The following is an 18176-nucleotide window of genomic DNA, read 5'->3' as shown; positions in this document are numbered from 1 at the left end:
CCTTAGAGAAGTGGACCAAATCTGGGGGAAAAAACCTTAAGACAAGCTCTAGATTAACTGACAGGAGCCCCTACTTTCACTTTCTGGCCTATTAAAAAAGATTTCTAGGAATTTATAATAAATAAATTCCTCATGTAAAGGAATTTAAAATAAATAAATTCCTCATGTAAAGGAATTTAAAATAAATAAATTCCTCATGTAAAGGAATTTAAATAAATTCCTCATGTAAAGGAATTTAAATAAATTCCTCATGTAAAGGAATTTAAATAAATTCCTCATGTAAAGGAATTTAAATAAATTCCTCATGTAAAGGAATTTAAATAAATTCCTGTTATTATTCCTATTTATTATTTAAAAGTTCCTATCTATCCTATTCCTATTTAACATATTATTTATTATATATAGGATTATCCTATATATTCCATTCCTATTTATCCTATTTCTATTTATCCTATTCCTATTTATTCTATTATTTAGTTCCTATTTATCCTATTATTTAAAAGTTCCTACTTATTTATTTAAAAGTTCCTATTTATATGATAGAAATATAGAAAATATGTTTTGATAAGCATGACATTCTAAGGCTATAGCAATTTGGGAGTCTGCATGTCTGTCCTGTTTTCTTGATACCATAGCATCTAAGATCTTTGCAAAGTTGAACTCCTCTTCTGTTGATGCCTAATGACTATTCTTTCCAAACAGTTAATGAATGGATTCTGATGCTTCAAATGGATTCAGGCTCACCAAGGTGCTAATCCACAAATCAGACACCTGTGATTTAATAAATACTGAAAATATTCACACCTGAAATGAAAGCTAAGCTCTCCATGCTTGGGCCAGTACACATCCTTTACATTCTAGTCATGCTAGAAATCTCTTACGCTGGCAGAAAACTGTGACACTTAGAAAAATATGACACCACATAAGACCACATTTAGCTAGCTGGACACAATAAAAGAGACCAATAAAACAGTCTTCTTGCAAACAAGTCTTTGGGTAGCAAACTATCTTACCAATTTTCTGTAGTGTCACAATTGTTCTAACTTCATAACCTAATTAGCAATAACATTTCATTTGGATCCTTCCAGGATGGGAAATTCTTACCTAGAGAACACTTCTTTTCCTGGTTCTGGGCTTGCCGAATATAAAGCACTATTTTCTGCACTTATCTAAACCATGGGGTAGCCATCAGCATCAACACCCTACAGGTTAATGGAGATACTTGAGAAGCTTGCTTTCCACAGAAATAAAGATCTCTATACAAAGCTTTTTGGGAAAAGTGTGTAGGTGATACTTTTGGATCTCTAACAACCACACTAAAGGCAGAAGGAAATGACTAGCTTATAAAAACAAACTGAAACATTCAGAAAGTTGTCTAAAATGGGTCAGATCCATACATGAGAAACACTTTTATGATGTCTGCTAGTACCAGGGTAATTAAATCTCAAAGATACAGAGAAAATACAACAGGAAATAATGACTTCCATTAGAAGTTAGAGCCTTTTCCTATTTTAGATCTTCATTTCTCACCCCAACACACACCAACAATTAGACAGACATGAATTCTCCTGCAGTGGCTATGTCAGACTGCCAAACTGAAGATCTATGTATTTCTCTAGCAAAGGGATATCTGAACTCCAGTCCAGTTGCTTCACACTTTCCCTCACATATTTTTTGCAGCAGCAATTCAAGATTCTTGTTCCATATATAGGATTTGAATACTTCCTTATTATTTTTTACTTAAGCTTTTCTGTATGCAAGGTAGTAGTCACATCCATTTTATGACAGCTTATGTCCAGATATGATAGTCTTACAGGTTAAGTCTGTTAAACTTTACTTTCTGAAGAAATTGAAAAGTGAATATTGTCAAAAGTACCCAACATTAGATTAAGTATTATATGTACATAATTTTTTTAACACCAGAATCAATTTTTAAGATGTAAACTTTAAAAAAGACAGTTAAAACGTATAGCATAGAAAAATTTAAATGTTGATAAAAGCAGATATAGTTTCTAACATATTAGGTAAAAATTCTTTGTAGAAAAAGCATAAAAGAAATAATTCTGTCTGGTCAAGTGCATTAATTATTTACAAAGACACAGTAGTCAGTGTGATCTTTTAAAATGTCATCAATCAAATCTTAGTATTCCTTTGGTCAAAACCTTCATTTAAGTTTTCTATCACACTTAGAATAAAATCTTAAGGCTTTATCATGTCACCATGGCCAGGTTCTTTCTCACTTTCTGACCTCATTTCCTACAGCGTCTTCCATCACATACCTTCCCTCCAACATGCCATGCTTGTTCCTGCCTCAGGGGCTTTGTTATGGTGGTTGTCCCTCTTCTTGGAACATTTCTCCAGCATCTTACTGCCTTATTTTATGTGGGTGAAATGTTATATCCTCAGAGAATCCTTTAGTGCCTGCTCTGCTCTGCCACCATTGTCTGTCCCTAACCTGGCTACATTTTTCTTTATGGAACTTCCATTACTTGGAATCATATTTATTTGCATATTTATTTTTGTCTCATGTAAAAGTTTCACAAAGGTTAAGAACAATGCTGTCTTATTTACTGCTGTATCCCTAGAGTCCTGGCACACTACCACCATCGTAATTGCAAACATTTACAGAGTGCTTACTATGTGCCAGGCCCCGTTTTCAGCTTTCCTACTTCATTGTACAACAATCCTCAGAACAGTTTTAGGGGCCAAAAAAAAAAAAAAAAAAGAAGAAGAAGCAGCAAAAAAAAAGGAACACAGAGGTTAAGTAACTTACCCAAGATTTAACATAAGTGGTGCAGCTAGGATTTGAACCCACCAATCTGATTTCACAGCCTGAGCTCATAGTTACTACATTATTTTCATGCAAGCAAATTAATACAAAATACCCAGTAATTATGTCAATATGTGTATTAGTGAATAATTAGCTTTAAAGACAATTCAAGTAACATGAATGGCTTCTAAAGGATTCTCTGAGGAAATTATATTTTAATCATCTCCTGATGTTCTCTGCCATATTTAGATATTTTAGTCCAATAATAAAGGTTAGAAATTTTCCTAAATGTTCAGATTTCAAGAAATCAACACACTAAAAATTTATATTCTAAGCACAAAGTGTAAGTACATTAAGTCACCAATACATTTTCAAGTCAGAGCCATTCACTTAGAAGGAAGAGAGGCCTTCTAACAACTGAAGATTATACCTGTGCAAATTGTCATAGCAGAGCTCACAGCTATGCATCAGTGCATATAATAAAGTCAACTGGCCGGGTGCAGTGGCTCATGCCTGTAATCCCAGCACTTTGGGAGGCTGAGGCAGGTGGATCACCTGAGGTCAGGAGTTCGAGACCAGCCTGGCCAATACAGCAAAACCCTGTCTCTACTAAAAATACAAAAACTAGCCAGGTGTGGTGGAGCGTGCCTGTAATCCCAGCTACTTGGGAGGCTGAGGCAGGAGAATCGCTTGAACCTGGCAGGTGGAGGTTGCAGTGAGCCAAAATGGCACCATTGCACTCCAGCCTGGGCAACAAGAGCAAAACTCCGTCTCAAAAAATAATAATAATAATAAATAAATACATAAATAAACTCAATACTCCCTCTAAAGGCTCATAAGTTACAAAATGAATCTCTTTGTAATCTTCAACTTTATAACTTTCTGAATTTTAAGTGAACCTGAATTTCCTAAAAGCAAATTAGACAGTATAATGAATAAGCCCAAGACACATGTGCAAGATGGATTTTCCTTCAAATCTGCAATAGAATTGCAACTAAAGCCTTAAATTGAAATCATACCTGCTGAATGGGACTCTGTGCCTGAAACAATATTCTTCGTCCTAGTAGTTCTGCAAAGATACATCCCACAGACCAGATGTCAATAGCATTGCTGTAATGACGGCTGCCCATCAGGATTTCTGGAGCCCGATAATACTGAGTAACAACTTCCTGAGTCATATGACGGGATTCATCTAATTCTTCCACTCTGGCCAATCCAAAATCACAAATCTAGACAGAAAAGGCAATCAAAACATTATCAAGCAAATACAAATGAAAGAGTAAAACAAAACATCAAAATTTTGATAGGGCACTGAACTTTGAAACTTTTTTTTTTTTTTTTGAGATGGAGTCTCACTCTGTCACCCAGGCTGGAGTGCAGTGGCACAATCTCAGCTCACTGCAACCTCTGCTTCCTGGGTTCAAGGGATTCTTCTGCCTCAGCCTCCCGAATAGCTGGGACTACAGGTGCCTACCACCACGCCTGGCTAATTTTTTTTTTTTTTTGTATTATTTAGTAGAGAAGGGGTTTCACCATATTGGCCAGGCTGGTCTCAAACTCCTGACCTCAGGTGATCCATCTGCCTTGGCCTCCCAAAGTGCTGGGATTACAGGTGTGAGCCACTGCGCCCGGCCACTCTGGAACATTTTTAATGATATAGGTATAGTATATTTATGTCAATATACAATCTGGTTTTATTTGGTTAAGAGAGGAAAAAAGTCTCAAACTTACATCATTTTCTTAAAAATATTCTTCTCATCTTTATCAATAAAAACATGTCTGTTTTCAGTTGATAATCGAAGCAAAAAAAACTAGGTGAACGTAAACGACTTTATTTATTTTTTTAGACAGGGTCTCACTCTGTCTCCCTGGCTGGAGTGCAGTGGCGTGATCGATCTGAGGCTCCTCCCACCTCAGTCTCCTGAGTAGCTGGGACTACAGGCATGTGCTACCACACCTGGCTAATTTTTGTGGGTTTTTTTTTTTTTTTGTAGGGATGAGGTTTTGCCATGTTGCCCAGGCTGGTCTTGAACTCCTGGGTTCAAGCAATCTGCTTGCCTTGGCCTCCCAAAGTGCTGGGATAACAGGCGTGAGCTACTGCACCTGGCCAAATGCATACTTGTAGGTTTGATTTAGAGACCAACTGTTGGCCAGGCACAGTGGCTCATGCCCGTAATCCCAGGGATTGAGAGGACTGCTTGAGAGATCAGGAGTTTAAGACCAGGCTGGACAACATAACAAGATCTCAACTCTACAAACAATTAAAAAAAAAAAAAGCTGGGCGTGGTGGTGTGCACCTGTAGTCCCGGCTACTCTGGAGGCTGAGGTGGGAGGACTGCTTGAGCCCAGGAGTTTGAGGCTACAGTGAGCTATTACTGTGCCACTGCACTCCAGCCTGGGAGACAGAGTGAGATTGAGACCCTATCTTTAAAAAAAATTTAAAAACCCCCACAAAACCAATTACTTTCAAGACTAGTTTAGAGAGGAAGATATCATAAGATAAAGGGGTGTATCTTGAAGGTCTCCTTAGCTGAGACTGTGTCTGTCGTCTTTATGAAATATATGTGAATTTCTTTAAAGCAATGGGTTTCAAACTGACTCCAGTTGAATCTACTTCTGACTTTAGGCATTCCATGAATATTATATCCAAACTTCACATGTACCTATCTATTTAAAATACAAATTCATACTCAAATGTATAAATATGTTAAAATGCAGTATATGGTAGAATACTAATGCTATGGGGTTCATTCATTTCTTCATGCCATAAATATTTAAGTTAGTACTTGTTATATTACAGACTGTATGTTAGAATCTGGAGATACAGCAATAAATAATAAAGACAGGTTAACTTCTATACAAACTTAGAAATAAATCTTTTCTTGCTATTTCTGCTCAACTGAAAAGTATGCTGAGGGTTACAAGGTGAGCTATTAATAAACAGCAGCCGTGCCACCACCAGCAACTACTACTTATCTTTAGGAATTAAAATTTTCTTGATATTGGGCAATCAAAACACAACTAGGAGCACTGAGGATGAGATCAGATAGTAATGGCCATCTAAGCTCCAGTGTTCTCACTGATTAACTTTACAAGTCACAATATTGCAAGTGATAAAATATGATTTTAAATCTGTTTTCTAAATTGAAGTCCCCAAATAAGATTTTATTTGAAAAAGAGTTCCGGCAGCTTAAAAAGAAAATCTGAAAACCCCGTTCTAAAGAAAACAAAATTTATCCCCCAATTTTTGGCAATCCCCTCTTTCTGATTTGAATCTACTATGTCTGGTTACATCAAATGAATTCAGATGTGTATGTGGGAATGAATCAGTATGAAGCCACCATCTTTACAACTTAAGAAAGCAGGAAAATTTTCCATACTATACAGATAAACCATATAACATAACAACAAAAGCCCGAGTTCATCAAATATGTTCAAATAACATATATATATATATATTTTTTGAGACAGTCTCACTCTGTCACCCAGACTGAAGTGCACTGACATGATGTCGGCTCACTGCAACGTCTGCCTCTCAGGTTCAAGTGATTCTCGTGTCTCTGCCTCCTGAGCAGCTGGGACTAGTGGCATGCGCCACCACGCCTGGCTAATTTTTGTATTTTTAGTAGAGACAGGGTTTTGCCATGTTGGCCAGGCTGGTCTCAAGTTCCTGGCCTCAAGTGATCTGCCCACCTCAGCCTCCCAGTGCTGGGATTACAGGCGTGAGCCACTGCGCCCGGCCAAAATAACATATAATATTTTAAAAACTCTATTACTTGGCCATGACTCTTGAGGATATTTTTAAAAACCAAACCAACAAAAGGAAAGAACATAATTTTTTTCTCATATTTATATGAGAAAAACCAACCAACCACCCATCCAACAAAAAAAGGCCTTCTGTTATAAAGCAAATCCCTTATTAAAAACATCAGTATGATTTCGTCATTTTTAGCAACTTATTTGGAAGACAACCTGAGTCCAAAATAGGAAGCTTACATGATCAGATAACTAAAAAAATTCCAGCAAAATTATCCATCTTGTGCTTAATAGGAAACAAAATACATTCACGATATGGAAGGATACTGATTTTTAAAAAATGTTTTGTTATAATGATCTTCAATGAATTTGTATGTTTGAGAAGAAAGAACTAGTGTCTATAGCCTAGACTCTATTCTGGCTTTTTAAAAGTAGGCCCATAAGATGAGTCAAAGGAGTGGAGCAAAATTTGTTTGTTCTGATTTGTGTGTTGTGTATTCACAAATGGCATTTTCCTTTAGTTGCCCATTCATACAGTCCAAGGTTATAAAACCATAACGGACAATTTGGAAAATGAACTTCAAGCAGTTAATGGCATCAAACATGACAGGTCCTGCACAAAATCCTGTGTGAAGTCTTCCAATCAAAAACCAAAATAAGAAGAAATTGGCTTAAACTGTCGTAAGATTGATTAGGTATGAATAGGACAAAAAAATTTCTAACTATAAGGTTTAAATTTTTTTTTTAATTAAAAAACGATTATGGGGATAGGTTGCAAGTTCTCTTTAAAAAGTGAAAAGGTGGCAGGAAAAACTCAATAACCTATAGAAGGAATACTTTAGTAGATTTTGGTGGCAATTAACTTCTCTGTGGAAACAAAAGACTGAATTACAACATCAGCTATTTTTAGGGAAAATATGAAAAATAGGTTTTCATCTTTCTTGAGTTAAAATAAGGGTGAGGGTTCTTCAAGGCTATAATGAAGGGAGAATTTTCATTCATAAGCAGTATAATCCACCAGCTTTTCAAGAGAACTGACCTACAGTTCAGAGAAATCATTTAAAATAAAAAATGAATTTTATTTATACACTTGGTTTTATTACTTAGTTTAACCGCCAGCAACCTAAGTAATAATGATAGTCTTGATTACTTTTAAAGTGGGTAACATTTTAAAAATTTATTTTTCTTTTCAAATATAGCAGTTAAAGGCCCTTATTTCCAATTTCTATTATGAGGAAAAATATAGTGGACCTCTCTCTATTCAAGAGTTCTGCCAATACACATCTGTATTAGAGGTAGGGAAATACAAATATGTGGACTTTGCTATTTGCAAGCCCCTTTTTAAATGAAAGACAATGGCTGTACTAGGGAAGAGAAGTAAAACTGAAACTGATGACTTGAAATTTTGGAACTACTAAATATAATTCTGTAATCAATTCCTCTTCAGAGGAATAATTAAGAATTGGCTACTATACATTATGGAAATACATTGGATAGATGCATATTACCCTTTTCTGGTTTGGCATTTTCACTTTTTTTTTTTTTTTTTTTGAGACAGGGTCTCACTCTGTCACCTAGGTGGAAGTGCAGTGGTGTGATCACAGCTCACTGCAGCCTTCACGCTCTGGGCTCAGGTGATCCTCCCATCTCAGCCTTCTGAGTAGCTGGAACTACAGGCATGTGCAACCACACCTAGCTAATTTTTGAATTTTTTATTGAGATGGGGTTTTGCTGCATTGCCCAGGCTGGTCTTGAACTCCTGGGCTCAAGCAATCTGCCCGCCTCAGCCTCCCAAAATGCTGGAATTACAGGCATGAGCCACCGTGTCTGGCCAGCACTATCCCTTTTAAATATGTTTCTACTTCTTACTTTGCTACCTTGGTCAAACAGCATATAGATATGTTAGCTGTGTAAAAATGTAAATGGTCTTCCTAAAAGTCACACTTCATTCTCTTATATAAACAGATGCTTGCTGTTCTAATATTTCTTCTGATATGCACTTCTTTTAATAATGGAACAAGCTGTAAAGGAGTCACCTTGTCTATTCTTCTTTCTAGTTACACTACAATTCCAATTTCAGTGTTTCTAAAACATAGGCCAAATATCATGAAAAGAACATGAGGCAGGACTACAAATTATTACCATGGCTATGAGTAGTGATATGGAGAAAACTGGGTTAACTTTTGGTAAAGTAATGGAAATGAACTTCTTTCTTTCACAAAAATATGTTGTTCTTAAACCTGCCCTGACATTCTGATTTTTCCCAGGTATTTAAATAAACTGAAAAGCTACCTTTAGAACACAGTTGCTGTTCACAAGGAGATTCCCTGGCTTAATGTCTCGATGTAAAATGCCAGCTGAATGGAGATATTTCAAACCTGAAATAACAAACAGATTTAATTGCAGATATTTAATTCCTTTTACTCAACCAATAATTTAAAAAAAACCTTGGAAGAAAACAGTAGAGGATTTAAAATTGTTCCCTAAATAACTGCATAATGAACATTATTAAAAGCTAGTCCCACCTCAAAATACCGTAATTTTGCTACAGTAAAATAAAATGTCACCAAAGGTTTGCAAAGTCTAGAGATAATGTCTATAATTTAAACAATTATGTAGGTTTAAATACAGATAAGCTTCTTAGGCACTCGAGTTAAGACCATACTAATAACCTTAGATTGCTAGTCAGTGTGGCTATTGGACTGCTGCTATTGATACTCTTAACCTGCAACTCGGAGCCTGCTCCAACAAAACAGTTTCCATTACTACAGGGAGCCTTTCCCAGGACAGATGTTTCACTGATAGAACAAAATTCAGGAACTTGCCCACACTGTCAGTAGTATTCTTTACCGCTCAGAATCAAGAGGGTAATGAACCACTTTAAAAATATTTGTGAAATCTTAGAAGACCAGTGTCTTCATTCAGTACTGCTAAAGGTCCCAGCCTCAAGGTTGAGTCCTTTTTGTGTGCGTTTTTCTTTTTTTCTTTTCTTTTTTTTTTTTGAGACAGGGTCTCGCTCTGTAACCTAGGCAGGAGTGTGGTGGTATGATCACAGCTCACTGAAGCCTCGACCTTCCTGGCTCAAGCCATGCTCCCATCTCAGCCTCCTGAGAAGTGGGAACTACGGGCATGTACCACCATATCCGGCTAATGGGCTGAGTCTTTTTTGGATAAAATGTAGCAAATCACATTTTTCACAAGTACAAAAAGAGCCAATATCTTCCCCATTTTCCCCTACCATAGAATATGAACAAATCTTAGAGGTGAACGTTTTTGTTTTTTTTGAGACGGAGTCTCACTCTGTTGCCCAGGATGGAGTGCAGTGACGCGATCTTGGCTCCCTGCAGCCTCCACCTCCTGGGTTCACTCGATTCTCCTGCCTCAGCCTCCCAAGTAGCTGAGACTACAGGCGAGTGCCACCATGCCCAGCTAAGTTTTGTATTTTTTTAAAGTAGAGATGGAGTTTTGCCATGTTGGCCAGGCTGGTCTTGAATTCCTGACCTCAGATGATCTGCCCGCCTCAGCATCCCAAAGCGCTGGGATTACAGGCATGAATCACCATGCCTGGCCTGGAGGTGAGTTTTTTAGTTTTAATATTGCTTATGTGGCTGGGCGCAGTGGCTCACGCCTGTAATCCCAGCACTTTGGGAGGCCGAGGCAGGAGGATCACAAGGTCGGGAGATCAAGATCATCCTGGCTAATACGGTGAAACCCTGCCTCTACTAAAAATACAAAAAATTAGCTGGGCGTGGTGGCGGGCACCTGTAGTCCCAGCTACTTGGGAGGCTGAGGCAGGAGAATGGCGTGAACCTGGGAGGCGAATCTTGCAGTGAGCTGAGATCGCACCACTGCACTCTAGCCTAGGCGACAGAGCAAGACTCTGTCTGAAAAAAAAATTGCTTATGTGTTTTCATCCTTTTGGCATTTATTTTTCAATCTCTATAAAGAATCTCTTAATTCTATGAATTCTGGGGCAGGGGGAAAGTATTTTGCTTACTAGGTAAGAAAGCTGTTTCAGGTTTAAGCAATTCTCTACTTGTAATGGCAAAATTCTCATGGACATACTTGATGGCCAGAAGAAGTGTCAATAATGTTGGCCCAAATCCTTTCTCAGTCAAGTCTGTGCTCTTTAATGAGCTGTCTAGAATTTAGCTGGCTCTGTTTATTGGTCTTCCCAATCTACTTTGGTTTTAAGGGTCATTTTGTTTCTCTGGAGTTGGCTTCAGGTATGCCAGCCAATACTCAGACAGGCCCACCTACTGTTGGCTTGCAGGATGGACGTCATCCATAGGGGATATAGTCACTTTTCACTTTAGTCGTCTGATGCCACATATTCCTATTCCGTTGAAAACTAAAGGCTGTTTTGTGAACTTGTGACAAACCATCCTGCTTATTCACCTAGATTAGCCCACTCAACTGCCTAATGAATTTGACAGGGCTTTCTCTTTCATCACTGAAAACAAGAACTATTTGGCAACCCTAAAAAGCTTCCTCTTTAACATTAAATATAGAAATTATAAAATATGCTTTGGTCAAAAGAAAAAAGTCTTTAGAGAAGAAGAAAACCTTGGAAGATCGGATTAAAGTCTAAATGAGAAGCAAAACATTTCATTTACAGTGTGACAGCACCTTTTTCTTCATAAAGAAATCTTACCTCGCAAAATCTGATAAAGAAAAACTTTGACATGATCTGAGCTGAGTGGTTGAGGAGAGACGATAATTTTATGTAGGTCACTCTGCATCAATTCTGTGACAACATATCTTGAAGTTTTAAGTTAAGGAGAGTTCGGCGAATTCAGTCCCCTACCCCCTCAAAGTGGTGACCAGATCTAAAAAATAACTTCCATTCTCAAGGCTGGAAAAGTGGGGAAAGAAAGCTTCTAGACAGCGTGACAGAGGTGAGAATTCCAGCCCTCACAAAACACTACTAAAATCAAAAGAACTTACATGTTTAAAAGTCAGCAGAAGTAAACGACCAAATGATTTCCTTATAATCAGCATTATCAAAGAGAAAACCAAAGGTAAACATTTTAAATAACAGCCAGGCCAGGAAAAGTATGACGACCAAACAGTCTTAAGCTCTACTTAGACATATTACAGGAATGTCCTTTGAATCCAAACAAATGGGGATTGGTGATCTCATCTTAGGCCACCATGACACCAATGGAAAAGATCACAACCTATCCAAGGGCTGTGGCTTGTTACATTATAAAATATGGTATTCCTAAACACATGTAAAATAATTAGTTAAGTCTCTCCACAATCTTAGTAATTTAGTTCCTTTATTATTTAACTTTGTATATATTTATGAAACACCCCTCCCCACCATCACCACTAGATTTCGAGCGAGCTTCCTATACGTTGTACTCTGTTGTATGTTTAGGGTTTTGCTGAATGGACACATGGCCGATGATTAAAGGCTGGAGCCTGGGGAGCCATGGAGATATGCAATTCAAGACTCTTGTGAAGCACGTGTTAGATACATTAGGGAAGCAAAAGTATGGTAAATCTTATAATTTAAGTATTAAGTTTTCTTAAGGCAATTTCTAATTTAATGTTTTAGCAAAAACAAGTAGGAAAGGGGATAACTTGGGAACAGGGAGGAGAACTGATAATAACAGCCTTTGACAAAACAACTAAAAATTGTTTTTCAATTGTTTTCAAACTCCCTCCTCCTCGAGACATTTTTTCCAAATCGCTTTAGTCTCCTTCAATCATTGTACGTTGAAATGCCCCATGGCTGCTGGTCCTCACTCCTCTTCCCTATCCACACTCGTGGATACTCGGATCCAGTGCCATGCCTTTAAATAACATCCATGCTGCAGACTGCCAAATTTCTCTCTCTAGTTAATCTTTCCTTAAGTGCAGACTGGTATATCAAACTGCCTACCTATTTCCCCTGGATACCTAATTGACATTTCAAACTAACAAGTCCAAAACTGTCCAAATCTTTCTTAGTTGCTTGCACCACAAACCACATCAAGGAGTTATCCTTTACTCCCCGTTTCTCTTTCACCATACCTCCAATTCATCAGAAATCCTTCAAAATTTAGTCAGAATTAAGGCCACTTCTTATATCCACTGTTACTACTCTGGCCCAAGACTGCTAGATTTCTAAAACAGCAGCCAGGATAATTTTTTTTACTGTTATATTTTTTATTTTGCCTATATACTGACATTTACTTTATTATATAGAAAATATAATTTTTAAGCCTTTTACATTCTTAGATATTTTAATCTTAGGTTTTATCACTCAGATTCTTTCCAAAGAAATATATTCTACTTCATAATGAAAGTTAATGAGAAAATGATATTTGGCATGTGGGATTCACTTACAGGACAGTTTTCAGTGACATGTTAAAATTATTCTATAAAATGATGAAGAGTTAAATAATGACATCAGGGTTATAGTTTTTAATAGTTTTTATTCAACTTTTTCTTATTTTTCAAACACAGAAAATTACGCAGAGATGACCCATATACACACTTACCACCTAGAATCTACACTGAATATTTTGCTATATTTGCTTTGTCACACATCTATCCATTGCTCTTTCCATCCATCAATTCATCCAAAACTGGATGCATTTCACAGAATGATCTTTTAGGATGAAGGCCAAATTATGTCACTTTTCTGCAAAAGCTTTCCATTTCATTTAAGAGTAAAAGCCAGTCCTTAAAATGGTCTCACAGGCCATAAATCATTTGGCCTTCTTCCTTCTCTGACCTCTTCTATTGCTTTCTTCCTGGATATTCTCTGAACATGCTAGATACACTCCAACCTTAGGCCTTAGCTATTCCCTCTGCATGGACTGTACTTCCTGACATCTATTTGGTTAACTCTTTCACGTCCTTTGTGGTTTTGCTCAAATTTTATCTTTCAAATGAGGCCTACCTCAACCACTCTGACACTACAGTCAGACATTATATAATGATGTTTCGTTGATGATGGACCACATGTATAAAGGTGGTCCCACAGACTGTAACAGTGCTGAAAATTCCTATTGTATTGCCTAGGGGTGTCTTGGTGACTAAACCTGTGTAGGCTTAGGCTAATGTATATGTTTGTGTCTTATTTTAAAAAGTAAAAAAGCAACTCAGACCTCAACTCTACAAAAAACTTAGCCAGGTGTGGTGGCTTGTGCCTGTAGTCCTAGCAGTTATTGAGGACACTGAGGTGGAAGGATTACTTGACCCTGGGAGGTCAAGGTTGCAGTGAGCCATGATTGCACCACTGCAATCCAGCCTAGGCAACAGAGTGAGAAAAAATAAATAAATAAGAAAAAAAAATTTTTGTACAGCTGTACAATGTCCTTGTGTTTTACGCTAAGTGTTATTACAAAAGAGTAAAATATTTAACAAAATTAAAAAGTTTCGAAAGTAAAAAAATTACAGTAAGCTAGGGTTAATTTATATTAAAGAAACTTTAAAAAAATAAACAGTGTAGCTTAAGAGCACAGAGTTTATAAAGTCTATAGTAATGCACAGTAATGTTCTAGGCTTTCAAATTCACTCACCACTCACTGACACACCCAGAGCAACTTCCAGTCTTGCAAGCTCCATTCGTGTTAAGTGCCCTATACAGGTGTACCATTTTTATCTTTTATATCATATTTTTACTGTACCTTTTCTATGTTCAGATACGTTTAGATATACAAATACTTATTATTGTATTAAAGCTGCCTACAGTATTCAGTACGGTAACATGTTGTACAGTTGTACAGGTTTGTAGCCTAAGAGGAATAGGTTATACCATACAGCTTAGGTGTGTAATAGGCTATACCATCTAGGTTTGTGTAACAACCTGTACTCCCTATCCATTTGCTATCACCTTGCACAGCTTTACTTTTTCTTCTTCCCTTAGTAGTTATTATCCTGTAATTTCCTTATGTTTATTCTCTGTCTGTATTGCCAAGCCTGCACCATAAAGGCAAGGGTTGTCTGCTTTGTTCACAAATTTATCCTAAACTCTTAGAATATAGTGCACATAGTAGGTCCCTATAAATATTTGATGAATGAATGTATATTGAGCACCTGCTAGGTATAGGTACTCTACTAAGTATTTTAAATAGATAATCTCATCTAATTTTCATGGTAACTCTACAAGGTATGTAGTGGTACCCTAAATTTAGATAAAGAAATTGACGTTAACAGAAGACAACCTACCTACGGTTACATAGTAGTGAAGATTTTAGATCTGATCATGTCTAAAATTGCTTCAATGGTTCTATGCAATTTTGGATTTATCTTCTTATTCTTTTTTTTAAGTAACATTTTTAAAAACTAATAAAGTAGGCCAGGTGTGGTGGCTCATGCCTGTAACCCCAGCACTTTGGGAGGCCCAGGAGGGTGGACTGCTTGAGCCCAGGAGTTTGAGACCAGCCTGGGCAACATGGAGAAATCCCATCTCTATAAAAAGTTTAAGAAATAGGCCGGGTGCGGTGGCTCACATCTGTAATCCCAACACTTTGGGAGGCAGAGGCAGGTGGATCACTTGAGGTCAGAAGTTTGAGACGAGCCTGGCCAACATGGTGAAACCCCATCTCTACTAAAAATACAAAAATTAGCTGGGTGTGGTGGCATGTGCCTATAGTCCCAGTTACTTGGAGGCTGAGGCAGGAGAACAACTTTAACACAGGAGGCAGAGGTTGCAGTGAGCTGAGATCGCACCACTGCACTCCAGCCTGGGTGACAGAGCAAGACTTTGTCTTAAAAAAAAAAATTTTTTTTTTAAGAAATAGGTGAGCATTGTGGCATTTGCTGGTAGTCCCAGCTACTCAGGAGGCTGAGGTGGGAGGATCACTTGAGCCTGGGAGGCAGGGGTTGCAGTGAGCCCTGATCTTGCCACTGCACTCCAGCCTGGGTGACAGAGTGAGACCCTGTCTCAAAAACAAACAAAACCCCCCACAACTATCACAAAATAGACTAAATGTTCACTATGTTCTTTATAGAATAATTTCAACCAATAAATGCAGAAACAATTACAGAATTAGAAAAAAAACCACGGTTTTGCAATCTCTGGAGCTAGGCACCATCGATGGCTGGTAAAACCACTTGAAAAGGATGAGTGTGAGACTGACATCACTTCAATCCACCACTCAATCTTAGCATAATTTAATGTGGAACAAGAATATTATGTTTGTGATATGCACACCACTGCCTAGAATTATTCATGTCCCAAAAAACTTAATTTGAATGTAATCAATCATCTAGCTCTAATGACCAGTTAACTAGAAATATGTGGAATTAAAAAACAAGACATTATGAAGAAGCAATCTACTAAACACACAACGTGGATCATTCTTCAGGAAAAATTTATCTAACAAATCAATGACCATCCCCCTCCCCCTCCCACAAAAAAAGTGTGTGTTGCGGGGTGAAGGGCAGGCAGAAATGTTTGGGATAAGAGACTCAAGAGACATAATAACCATACATACGTGTGAACTTTGTTTAGAACCTTATTCAAAAAGTGACTCTTGAGGCAATCAGACAACAGATATTAAGGAATTAGCTAATTTTATTAGGTGTGATAATGGCATAATTGTTGTTTTCAAGGTACTTATCTGTTAGAAATTCACATTTAAGTATTTATAGGTGGAATAATGTGATGTTTGGTTATCTACTTTAAAATACTCCAGCCCTCCTTTCCCTTCCCCTCAATAAAAAAGAATAGAGGAAATGAGATTGGCAAAATGATTAATATTGTTAAAGCTGAGCATGAGGTACGCAAGTTATATACTTATATACTACTGGCTCTTATATTTTTGTATATATTTTTGCATATTTTGTATATATTTTTGTATATTTTGAAAATTTCCTTAATAGTTTTCTTAAACTTCATTGTAGAAAATGGAAATTATAAAAAAATGCAAGAATATTAAAAATATCCAGAATTCTACCTCTTTGGGTGAATTTAGAACATTTTGATGAAACTAATGTGCATGGGTACATACATGTATATTTAAAATAAAACTGGTATTATATACATTGTTCTTTTAATACTTTAAGTTCTAGGGTACATGTGCACAACATGCAGGTTACATAGGTATACATGAGCCATGTTGGTTTGCTGCGCCCATCAAATCATCATTCACATTAGGTATTTCTTCTAATGCTATCCCACCCCCAGCCCTCCACCCCCCGACAGGCCCTGATGTGTGATGTTCCCTGCCCTATGTTCAAGTGTTCTCATTGTTCAATTCCCACCTATGAGTGAGAACATGCGGTGTTTGGTTTTCTGCCCTTGTGATAGTTTGCTGAGAATGATGGTTTCCAGCTTCATCCATGGCCCTGCAAAGGACATGAACTCATCCTTTTTTATGGCTGCATAGTATTCCATGGTGTATATGTGCCACATTTTCTTAATCCAGTCTATCACTGATGGACATTGGGTTGGTTCCAAGTCTTTTGCTATTGTGAATAGGGCCACAATAAACATACGTGTGCATATGTCTTTATAGCTGCATGATTTATAATCCTTTGGGTATATAACCAGTAATGGGATCGCTGGGTCAAATGGTATTTCTAGTTCTAGATCCTTGAGGAATCGCCACACTGTCTTCCACAATGGTTGAACTAATTTATACTCCCACCAGCAGTGTAAAAGCGTTCCTATTTCTCCACATCCTCTACAGCATTTGTTGTTTCCTGACTTTTTAATGACCTTTTAACTTTTCTGCTGTTGCCTGTTCTTTTAATAAAATATAAGGTTCTAAAAACAAAACAAGCAAGGGAATCCCTTGCTTATCCCATTCAATGGTTTAATAATGCAGAATTTTAATGACTGCATAGTGTTCTAACGTGTGGCTATATTATAATTCATTTAACCAAGTGATCATTGTTAAAAAGCTATTTCTAATTTTATTTTTTACTATTTTATTTTTTGAGATGGAGTCTTGCTCTGTCACCCAGGCTGGAGTGCTGTGCTGTGATCTTGGCTCATAATTCTGCAACCTCCATTTCCCAGGTTCAAGCGATCCTCATGCCTCAGCCTCCTGAGTAACTAGGCTTACAGGCACATGCTACCATGCCCGACTAATTTTTGTATTGTTAGTAGATGGGGTTTCGCCATGTTGGCCAGGCTGGTCTTGAACTCCTGACCTCAAGTGATCTGCCCACCTCAGTATCTCAAAGTGATGGGATTACAGGTGTGAGCCACTGAGACTGGCCTATTTTTAACTATTTTAAATAACCTTGAGATAAACATCCTATATATAGAATTTTATGTGTATGTGAGGATATTACATATACTTTAAAAAAGTTTTAAAATACTGTAAACTCTTTCCATGGTATTATATATATTCTTTTATATCATTTCAAATGCTTAAATAGTACTCCATTTTACATAATATGTCAGGAGTTAAGTCATCTCCTGCCACTGGATGTTTACAATATTATTGTTTCACTATAATGTAGCTCTGTGGGAGTGCTTAGAGCTTTAAGGTATTATTTCATGAGGAACCCTCAATTATGTACAGATCCTCCTTCCTGGGTTAATCATTTATTCAGAAGAGTCCTCCAATCTTTCTTCTTAGGATGAATAGGTCAGGCTGCCAGAATTCTATGTTAGTGGGTGTCCAGGGAATAAACTTTTAGTCTCCAGCAGGGTGAGGGAAGAAGATCTGAGCATCGTACTACTTCTTAAACAGGC

General features: G+C 37.3%; 1 protein-coding gene across 4 annotated transcripts in view; it reads right to left on the bottom strand.

The window, feature by feature from the left end:
- The window catches only part of NLK (nemo like kinase), a 163398-nt gene that overhangs the window by 33628 nt on the left and 111594 nt on the right, over nucleotides 1–18176 (bottom strand). For all 4 annotated transcript variants that reach the window (XR_934482.2, XR_001752526.3, NM_016231.5 and 1 more), the window contains exons 4-6: nucleotides 11181–11287; nucleotides 8819–8904; nucleotides 3790–3999 (exon numbers count right to left, since the gene is read on the bottom strand). Coding sequence is in view for 2 of the 4 variants with exons in the window: in NM_016231.5 (NP_057315.3) it covers nucleotides 3790–3999; nucleotides 8819–8904; nucleotides 11181–11287 (403 nt within the window). In the remaining 2 variants the exon portion in view is untranslated. The remainder of the gene's footprint in view (nucleotides 1–3789; nucleotides 4000–8818; nucleotides 8905–11180; nucleotides 11288–18176) is intronic.

Source organism: Homo sapiens, chromosome 17 (genome assembly GCF_000001405.40).
Source record: "Homo sapiens chromosome 17, GRCh38.p14 Primary Assembly".
NCBI lineage: Eukaryota > Metazoa > Chordata > Mammalia > Primates > Hominidae > Homo > Homo sapiens.
The sequence above is the reverse complement of the archived record's forward strand: the minus strand, read 5'-3'. Positions and strand labels throughout refer to the sequence as shown.